Source organism: Homo sapiens, chromosome X, assembly GCF_000001405.40.
Source record: "Homo sapiens chromosome X, GRCh38.p14 Primary Assembly".
Classification (NCBI taxonomy): Eukaryota; Metazoa; Chordata; class Mammalia; order Primates; family Hominidae; genus Homo; species Homo sapiens.
Window position 1 is genome coordinate 5,232,736 of NC_000023.11, and position 11,199 is coordinate 5,243,934.

An 11,199-nucleotide genomic window follows, 5' to 3' on the forward strand; every position below is an offset into this window, starting at 1 on the left:
ATTTTATTTTTAGTGTTTCCATCCTTTGTGTGTCATCACAGATATTTACTCTGTAAGTTGAAATATATATGGTAGTGTACCACTTTTGTTTATCTAATAATTATATTCATACACACAATACACCAACATTCCATATCATATTTAGAATAGTAAAAATTAAACGGTAGCATTTTAAATAATGCTGCTTGGTGGTTCCTTGAGTGAAGACACCATGGTTTATTTAACAGCTTCTTTCTTAAAATCCATGTATGCCTAGTGTTCCATTATTAGAACACTAAGCATGTGGGAGTTGTGTATATCTTACTGCTCAAGGTCATCGCCAAGGTCTGATTGCAAAAATTCAAAAAATTGCAACCTCAGGCAGAAATGAGTTAATAGACATTGACCTTGCTCTCAGGTTACTTTGCCCTCAGGCTCATGGTTGATTTTATAGTAATATATAATACTGTAATCCCGAGTAGCTGGGATTACAGGCGTGGGCCACCATGCCCAGCTAATTTTGTATTTTTAGTAGAGACAGGGTTTCACCATGTTGGCCAGGCTGGTCTTGAATCCCTGACCTCAAGTGATCTGCCCGCTTCAGCCTCCCAAAGTGCTGAATTACAGGCATGAGCCACCACGCCTGGCGTTTTAGTTGCAATTTTATAAGGTTGTTAAAAGGATTTAAATAAATAATTCTTGTAAGGGCTAAGTGGATTACATAGCAGATTTTAAAGATTCAAAATATCAACTATAACATTATTATTATTATATTGCTAATCTTTAAACCGTGTACGTATACCTCAATTTCTTGATTATGGAGACCATACTTTTTAACTTGTTGCTATAACTATGTAGCCACTAACACATTCACTATTTTCACAGCTCCCTTTAATCCCCTCCCTCTGTTAGTATTTTTATATTGTTGGGAAAGATATCATTTATACTCTCTGTATATCTATAATTATTTTAATTCTCTTCATAATTGAGTGAAAACATTCCGGTTTTCTTTCACACCCCATTCAACTCTCCCTGAATTGTTCAAAGCAGTTGAAAAATTTTACATTATATGTAATCTAAGGTACTTTGAAAAATAGCATTCTTTTAGATAACGTTTGCTATAGGTCAGAGATCTGTCTAAATACCCAGTAAGCTTAAGATCCATGCTTTGCTATCTTATTACATAAGGAGTTGTACAAGAAGATTTTTCGGTGGGCAAGGATTTGAGGAAGATACTAAAAAAATGTCCAGATGATTCTGTCAAGTAGATGTGTCTAGTCATCATTAAACCAAAACCCCCATGCACTGTTTTGTAAAGTCCCTCCGCAGATAGCCAAAATGAAATTCTCTCTATTTTGGTTCTCCAAGTGGGGATTTTGGTGTTTGTACAGGTGCATATTCTGCAGCTATCCGAGAACCACAAGTTTTCAGTTAGCTGAGGATGAAATCTATTCAACTACCATTGAGCTGGGCTGTGAGAAATGTTTCTGCCCACAGAATGCTTTTTAATTTAGTGACCAATTAATAGGTGAAAATTCACTTATGTATGTTTCTTCCTTGGGTATGCATCCTTCTTAATGCAGTTAGGATTTAACCACCCAAGTCAATGATTATGTTATCATTTTATCTTCAAAACTTGTATCTTCCAAACTTGTTCTGTCACCCCTCATCCCTTTTCATCTGGGTATTTTTGCTTCTTATAAATGAAATTAATTTCCATTAAAGCAGTTCCCAAGAAGACACCCTCATAAGAAGAAACAAATTTTCCTCTATTTTTCTATTTTGTATTCATTTACATACAAAAAAGTATCTGGAATATAGTTAGGGAAATGCAGTAATTTGCATTTATACTTTTGCTTGATTGCTGAATTTTCAAATATTTATCTGTTCTATAAAATGTAGAGTGTTTCTATAGGCCTTGCAGGTCCTATACAGCAATGGAGTGGTGAGCTCATGCATTTTCTAGCTTATTTTCAGAAGAATATGCTATGTCTGTTCATTCTTCCAGATTCTGGTGCCTTTGGATCTCTGGTAATACTCCATGACTTCATTGATATAAACATCTCTTATTTTTTTTGTCTTCTTCCTTCCTTCCCTCCTTCCTTCCTTTCTTTGTTCTTTCCTTCCTTCCTCCCCTCTTCCTCCCTCTCTCCCTCCTTTCCTTCCTCCCTTCCTTCCTCTCTTCCTCCCTTTTTTCCTTCCTTCTTCCTCTCTTCCTCTCTCCCTCTCTCCGTCTTTCTTTCCTTTCTTCCTCCTTCCCTCGCTCCCTTCTTTTCTTCTTCCCTCTCTTCCTCCTTCCTTCCTTCCTCCCTTTCTTCCTCTGTGTCCCTCCCTTCCTTTCTCCTTGTCTTCCTCCTTCTTCCCTTCCTTCCTCCTTTTCTCCCTCCCTCCCTTCCCTCCCTCCCTTCCGTCTTCCTTTCCTTACTTCTTTCCTCCTTTCTCTCTTTCCTTTATTTCTCCCTTCCTTCCTTCCTTCCTTCCTTCCTTCCTTCCTTCCTTCCTTTCTTGTCTCTCTGTGTGTCTCTCTATCTCTCTGTCTGTCATTTTATCCCCTCTCTCAGTTTCCCAAGATTAAAATGCCACTGTGGATTTTTTTTAAATGTCACTTTATATGTCTCCTCAAGGTTCTCTATTCCTTTGAATACTGGGAAGAATACCTGCCATAATTTCCATCCATTAGACCAATAGGGTTATGGTTCTCCCGGTGACCTGCTAAATATCACTGGCTCAAGCACTTTCCAAATGTATCATTTTTTGTTTTGACAGAGATGAATTACTGTCTGAATATGCATTTTTTTTTTCCAGAGTCTTGCTCTGTCGTCCAGGCTGGAGTGCAGTGGCACAATCTCAGCTCACTCCAACCTCCACCTCCTGGGCTCAAGCAATTCTCCTGCCTCAGCCTCCCAAGTAGCTGGGATTACAGGCTTGCACCACCACACCTGGCTAATTTTTGTATTTTTAGTAGAGATGGGATTTTACCATGTTGGCCAGGCTGGTCTTGAACTCCCGACCTCAGGTGATCCACCCGCCTCAGCCTCCCAAAGTGCTGGGATTGCAGGCGTGAGTCACTGCACCTGGCCTGGATATGCAACATCTTTTGACTAGCCTATGAAACTTGATCTAGTTTTCTTTTTGTCCTATTCTCTAAGAATAGTGACTCTTTCCCCAACGCTGACCATTTCTGAGTATTTTCTCTTTCTCTCTCTCTCTCTGTCTGTCTTTTTTTTTTTTAGCTCTCAGCTACATCGGCGCTAAAGGCAGATTTCCTTGCTTCATTTCATTGGCACTCTTTAGTGTCGATATTAAAGACACTTGAAGAGAGCCATAATCAGAGGCAAAAGGAAAAGCAAATGTTGAACAAATGTCTGATCTGCTGGGTTTCATGATTTCCACTTTGTACCATTTCTATGAGCATCAACACACTGAATCGTTTCACATTGTCATGCCCAAGCCTTCTCCCATTAAAGCCGGTGTACTTGTTCTGCTGAAGTTCCAGCGGCAGAGAGGAGCGTGTGTCACAGGCATGCAAAGAAACACATACAACCACCCACAGGTTGCATTTCCAAAGCAGTTACACATGCCTCCTGTAGAGGGCCACAATTTCTTATTTGACAAGATCACATAGACTCCCAATTCAACTGCAGGAGTGACTTCGTTTCCCATAAAATGGCCGGTGTTTGGCAGTGGTGCTACATCCCGATCTTCTCTCAGCACTTGAAGCCAGCTCTCTCTAACCCTGCAGTCATTGGTATCTGCAATGCATCAACTCACTTTCGATGGCTGGCCAGCTCCAGTGTGAGTTAGCACGGTAATTTGTCATTGATGAAAAACTTTCAATGTTGAAATTTTGGTGAGGAAAGTCCTGCAAGAACAAATCTCCCTAAACTAGACATCTTGATATGTGTCTCTAAAATACATCTCTCTCTCTTAAAAAAATTAAAGTCCACCTACCTGTGTTCTCACATACCCCTTTTTTGAACAGTACTACTCGTTATGTCCTCATTTCAAACTATTAAAAATAGGTATTTATATAGATTTTCTCAAATTACACCCTAAGCTCCTTCCTACTTTAGGGCATCGTTTGCGCTTATAACTTAGTACATCCAAAACATCCAAAACATTTCTGCTCTAATTTGGGTAAACTTCCTCCTAGTTCACTCAGAAAATATTTTCTTACGTCACTCCACCGAAGTGTTTTGCAACATAAATGGCCATGGTAGTCACTGAACAAGTCTTAAATAAATCATCTGAAGAGGGTAAAGGTATTCAAATACACACTGGTAATAAGCAAGTAAGAGGATTTAAATGCCTTCTGCACTTCTGATTCACATAATGCTTTATACAGACATAGTAGCTGCTTTCTACCTTTTTCTGCCATGCATTTCCTATTCACTTTCTTGGGTTATGAAGTCATTGACCTTTGCCTGTGGTGATAAATCACACTTCCTCTATGAAATATCTGGATTTGGGAATAACTAAGAATCTGCATGCATGCATTGCATGGGGTGAAGATTTTTCCCTTTCTATTTTATTTTTCAGAAATGAACTTGTAAGGAGCTTTGGAGAAGAGTTTTGAGGTTGGTGCTTCCTAATTGAGTTCAGAGGATAGTTGTATTTGTGACTCAGGGGAATGCTACCAAAAACCAATAGTGGAAGAGTCTCTTAAAATCAGATTAATTTGACAACCTCCCTCTGTGGTCATCTCTTTAAACAGTCACCTCATGCTTGCCCAAAGGGCTTAGGAAAAATAAAGCCATGGTTTTAGAATTGTGGGTTATATGCATGGTAAATAATACAGACTTTCCCTTGGCAGAACTAAGAACAGCTTTCTCTGCTGGATCTGCAATGGTGACCCAGTGTGAGCCCCTAATTTAGGAGCAGACTGTAATAGTTCGTTTTCTTGCTGCTGATAAAGACGTACCTGAGATTGAGTAATTTACCAAGAAAAAGAGGTTTAATGGACTCACAGTTCCATGTGGCTGGGGAGGCCTCACAATCATGGCAGAAGGCAAAAGGCACATCTTACATGGCGGCAGACCAGAGAGAATGAGAGCCAAGTGAAAGGGGAAACCATTTATAAAACCATCAGATCTCGCGAGACTTGTTCACTACCAGGAGAACAGTAAGGGGGAAATTGCCCCCATGATTCAATTACCTCCCACCAGGTTCCTCCCACAACACGTGGGAATTATGGGAGTTACAATTCAAGATGAGATTTGGGTGGAGACACAGCCAACCATATCACAGACACAGGGGGACCAGGTGTCCACCTGATGGAAAGTATAGTTTATGAGATCCATTCTGTCAGAGATGAAACGAGCATTTTTCCATCTCTGCGGCAGATATTTATTCAAAACTTCTATTTGCCTCTCTCTGCTATCATTCCTGTGATTTCAATTTCATCTGTGCCTATTCTCCATTCTATTGTCCAACATATTTTTTTTTTCTGGTGAAGGAAATTATGTTATAGTGAAATAAGATAGCATCTTGATGCCTGAAATTTACAGCTTTTACCATCACTCTGTCACCCCAAAGACACCAGGTTTATGGAATGCTGAAAGAGTCCTCTGTGGATTCCAAGGTAAAGCCATCAGGGAGAAAGTATCTTTCAAACCTGTGCTGATTTTTCATAGAATGCTACATAGAATCCAGATGCTGTTCTTCTCACATGATCCTCACATTTATTAATCAAACATGAGTAAGCAGAGGCCATGTCTACTACTAGATGACCCACTTGCAGATTTTTGCCTCATCGTGCTGTGTTTCTAAGTTCTGCATTCTTAGAAATATCATTATCCAAACTAAAATGTTTCACTGTGAGATCCTACAGAGATCCACGGATCTACAAAGAAATATTGCTTGTTTTATCACCCCCACAGATCATCAGAAAAATAATTATAACAAATTAAAATCCAGTGAAATAACAACAGAAGTGAGCGCATATGCTTATGAAAATATAAACACATAAATGGTCACTGCATCATTATTCACATTAGCCAAAAACTAGAAAAAACTCAAATGGCCACCCACAAGGCAGCATAAATAAATGTTTAATGAATTCATAAAATTGAATACAAGCAGTGACAATAAATGAATATTAGAATGAAGGGACTCAAACAACTTACAATGACATGGACAAATGTCAAAAACATAATGCTGAATGAAATTAGCCAGACATAAAAGACATCTTCTAAAGGGTTTTATTCACATAATATTCAAAACAGACAAAACACATTTATGATGGTAGGTATTGGAAGTGTGGTTACTATGGGGAAGTTACTGGAAGAGGAATTAAGAAGGTTTCTCAGGTGGTGATAGTGTTCTGTTTCTTGATTTGTCGTGATTTTGTTTTATAGGATAAATTTGCGTTTTCAAAGAAAAAGTTTGGGCACTTTTCCTTTGTGAAAAATTCATTGCATGGTACACTTAGGATTTGTGCACACTTTCCTGTAATTATGCTATACTTTAATTTAAAAGTTTACTTAAAAAATTAAGTATGAAAAAGAAATTTATGAAGTGGAGCAACCTAAAGCTCTCAACTAGCTTACTTAGAGTAACTACATGTATTAGTCTGTTCTTATGCTGCTTATAAAGACATGCCAGAGAGACTGGGTAATTTGTAAAGAAAGATGTTTAATGGACTTACACTTCCACATGGCTGGGGAGGCCTCACAATCACAGTGGAAGGTGAATGAGGAGCAAAGGCATGTCTTACATGGCAGCAGGCAAGAGAGCATGTGCAGGGGAACTCCCATTTATAAAACCATCAGATCTTGTGTGACTTATTCACTACCACAAGAACAGTATGGGGAAAACTGCACCCATGATTCATTTATCTCCACCTGGCCCCACCCTTAACACATGGGAATTATTACAATTCAAGGTGAGATTTGGGTGGGGACACAGCCACCCCATATTACTACCACAGACACGTGATTCTTGCATGGGATTAAACATGTTCCCTAAGACAAACAGATCATATTCCCATAATAATTGCATATCCTTATTAAACACCGTCAGCAACTTCATGAGGAGTGGAATAAGACTCCTAACATGGTGGGATTGGTGGATGTGCCAGTCTCATTTTCTGAGACTTTGGAAGCTTGATTCCATTCTAGAGTTTGTATCTGGGACTACAAGTGTGGTTCAAGTCTCATGTCTCTGAAACTCCATAAAAGCCTGGCCCCTGGTGCAATAGTCTGCACCTACTTTTTTCCTTGCCTCTACCAGGGAACCCCTAAACTCAAGTTTCTGTCTTTCTGTGAAGCACTTCTAATTCTTGATATCAAAAATAACCAGCTTGGATCATCTCTGCCTCCTTCTAGACAAAATCCAGCTATATTGGGGCTTCATCCACACCAATATGATTGCATTACAGTTGGCCCTTTGGTAACTCAGGGGTTAGGAGGGCCGACAGACAAAAATCTGTAGATAGCTTTTGGTTTATTTTTAAATTGTAGATTCAGGGGATACATATGATGATTGGCTACATGGATATATTTTGTATATTGGGGTTTGGACTTCTATTGAATCTGCCACCCAAATAGTGAACATAGTACCCAATGGGTAGTTTTTCATCCCTTATCCCCCACCCTTACTCTCCCTTTTTGGAATCCTCAGGGTCTATTGCTCCCATCTTTATGTCCACATGTACCCATTTTTTTAGCTCCTATTTGTAAGTGAGAATGTACAGTGAGAATATGCAGTATTTAACTTTCTGTTTCTGCATTAACTCACTTAGAATAACGATCAACAGCTGCATCCATGATGCTGTAAAGGGCATGATTTCATCCTTTTAATGGCCGTGTAATATTCCATAGTGTATATGTGCCATATTTTCTTTATGCAACCCACTGTTAATGGACCCTGAGGTTGATTCCATATCTTTGCTATTGTAAGTAGGACTGAAATGAACATACTAGTGCAGGTGTTTTTTTGATAAAACAATTACTTTTCTTTTGGGTAGTTACCCAGTAGTGTGATTGCTGGGTCAACTGGCAGTTCTAGAAAATCCATGTAAAATTTTTGCACCTCCAAAACTTTATTAATAACCTATTGTTGACTGGAAGCCTTACTCATAACTTAAACATCAACTAACACATATTTTGTATGTGATATGCATCATACACTGTATTCTTACAATGAACTAGAGAAAAGAAAATGTTACTAAGAAAATCATAAAGAAGAGAAAATATACTTACTATTCATTAAGTGGAAGTGGATCACCATAAAGCTTTTCATCTTCATCATCTTCACATTGAGTAGGCTGAGGAGGAGAAGGAAGAGGAGTTGGTCTTGCTGTCTCAACGGTGGCAGAGGAGAATGAAAAGCCATGCTTAAAGTGGACCCACACAGTTCAGACCTGTGTTGTTCAAGGGTCAACTGTACCGTGGCTCTTCTGATCACAGGAAATGATTGCCTTGTTTTGTTAGTCTCCGTGATGTTTTTTGGTCTCTCCTTTTATTATTTTATTTATTTAAGCAGGAAAAGAACATTCCAGAGTAAATCACTGTCAGGCCTCTGAGCCTAAGCTAAGCCATCATATCCCCTGTGACCTGCAGGTATACATCCAGATGGCCTGAAGTAACTGAAGAACGACAAAAGAAGTGAAAATGGCCTGTTCCTGCACAAATAATTAAAATGCTCCACCACACCTTGTATAAAAAGTGTTCAGTTGATGCCAATGTCATGGATCATTTTTAATCACAAATACGTTAGAGTAAACAAGGTAAACACCCAGTATCAGAATCCTATGATTAAGGAAGCACTTTCCTTAGTGTCTTAAAAAAAGAAAAAATAAACATAAGGAAAAAAAGAGAAACGGTTGCTTTGGTAAAATAAACACACTGGATGACCGGCAATTCATTGCTTAAATTTTGAAATCTGGTAGTGAAAAGACAATGTAGCAGCTAAAAGGGGATGATAAATATAAGCATTTGCATAATGAAAATGTTTATTTCTTATTTAAAAGAGTATAATGTGTTTCCATGGAAACACTAATGTTCTCATTCAACTGCACCAGGGTGGCAAATTTTATTTGCATCATTTTAATCTTTACTAGTTTTTCTTTTTATTTTTTCCTGAATGCCTTCTAATTTAGTCAAGTGTTGCCAGAATTTAAAACTTTTTGATTTCCAAATTATCTCAGTTGTTAACCTGATGAAATTTTACCTGCGGTTTTGACATCCCAGAATATGGCAACAAGAGCTCAGCATGATAAAGTAATGCAAATTTTAGTCACAAAATTGAAACCTTTACCATCTAAATATACACCAAGTAAGATTTTTTTGAAAAAATACAGAAATAGCTTATATAAACATAAATTGAACGGAAGCTTATTTAGTGACGTTCAGATGATCAAGTTTACTAATACTTTAAATTGTTACTATTCTCTGTTATTTATCCCTCATACTATTCAGATACTTTTATTTGTTTTCAATCTTATAAATATTTATTTCAAGCAAATGAATAAGGGTCCCGGGAAACTGAAGTACTATCTATCGTGGATTTACATGACAGTAAATATCCACAGCCCCCATTCCATGACTGACTCCCTCTCACTCTCTCTCTCTCTGTGAGTATCTCTCTCTCCATGTTGTTGTGAACCCTGAAAATCTGAGACAAGTCTCAGTTAATTTAGAAAGTTTATTTTGCCAAGGATGAGGACTCGTGCTCATGATATAGTCTCAGGTGGTCCTAATGACATGTGCCCAAGGTGGTCAGAGCACACTTTGATTGTACACATTTTAGAGATACATGAGACATCAATCAACAAGATTCGCTCTGGAAAGGCGGGCTAACCCGCCAAAGGTGAGACAACTTGAAGTTGGAGGGGGCTTCCTGGTCATAGGTAGATAAGAGACAAATATTTGCATTCTTTTGTGTTTCTGATTAGCCTCTCCAAAGGAGGCAATCACATATGCATTTATCTCAGTGAGTAGAGGGGTGACTTTGAATAGAATGGGAGGCAGGTTCGCCCTAAGCAGTTCCCAGCTAGACTTTTCCCTTTAGCTTAGTCATTTTAAGGGCCCAAGATATTTTCCTTTCACATTGCATTCACTTTTTTGTCTATCACTTACTTTCAAAAGAATTCTAACTAATCCTGATGCCACCAGGCGTGAAGACATTGTTATCAAGTAGTTGGGAATAATCAAGAGAACATTTAAACACTTGATGAGAGACAGTCCCTCAACCACATAGTGTACAGAAAATGATGCTGTTATCTTTCCCTGCAAATAAGTTGTCCTCCATCTGAAGACAGAGCTAATCCATGCAAATCCATCTCATCCAGTGTGAGAAAATGGTCCTAATATTAAGAAAAACATGTTTTATTAGCAAGGAGGTAGGAGGTATCCACTCTGCTTCAAGGATTAATAATTAATCACATTTCTCTATTTCCATGCCAACACTGAGAAATTATTTAGCCTGATACAGTCTTCTTGAATTGATATTATTTCTTTTGTAATTTTATTTTAGAAAAACAGGTTAACTTTTAAAATTTATCTTAAAGGTAAATATCAGAGAAAAATATTACAGGTTTATTATATAAATAAAATTTTAAAAATCAACATTTTCACAAAGCAGTTACTTTTGTAAAATTAACATATTGTATCACTTGCAAGTCATTGCTTAAATTTTGAAATTTGGTAGCAAGAAAACAATACAACACATATACATAATATTCTATATAGAATATATAATAAAGATATGTTTTACATGACCAAAAGATTTTTAAGACAATATCAATAGCTAATGTTTCTTCACACAGGCAATAATCATTCACAGTTCTGTACACCTACACAAAAAGCTATAAAGAGTTATTGTTCTATTATCTCAGCAATTGGTACTATTTAAGTTAGGTGCCAACTGCCCCATGTATACTCCTAATGACCAAACACAAAGCAAGATTCAGCTGAGCTGAGTGTCTGATCCCTCTCTTTCCATATAGAATACAATGTATAATATAATAAATATATACTATATTATGTATATATAATAAATGTGTATATAATTACATTTACGAATTTGTAATGTGCTTGTGTGTGTATATTCTGCATTTCATATTTTAAGCTCCTTTTCTTTCAAGTGATGAATGTGAACTACAAGAAACATGATATGGGAGGTCCCACCAAAACTAAGAGTAACATTTAAATAACATTTTTAATGTTTAATGTTTAAATAACATTTCTTCAGGAATTTAACTTTTTGCATTGCACAGTG

At 37.6% G+C, this 11,199-nt stretch overlaps 1 annotated feature.

The window, feature by feature from the left end:
- Positions 9,369 to 10,350: an enhancer, noted in NCBI's record as "OCT4-NANOG hESC enhancer chrX:5160145-5161126 (GRCh37/hg19 assembly coordinates)". NCBI's record gives its function as "activates a minimal SCP1, AML or CMV promoter by ChIP-STARR-seq in naive H9 embryonic stem cells {active_cell/tissue: H9 hESC(naive)}" and the evidence as "EXISTENCE:reporter gene assay evidence [ECO:0000049][PMID:30033119]".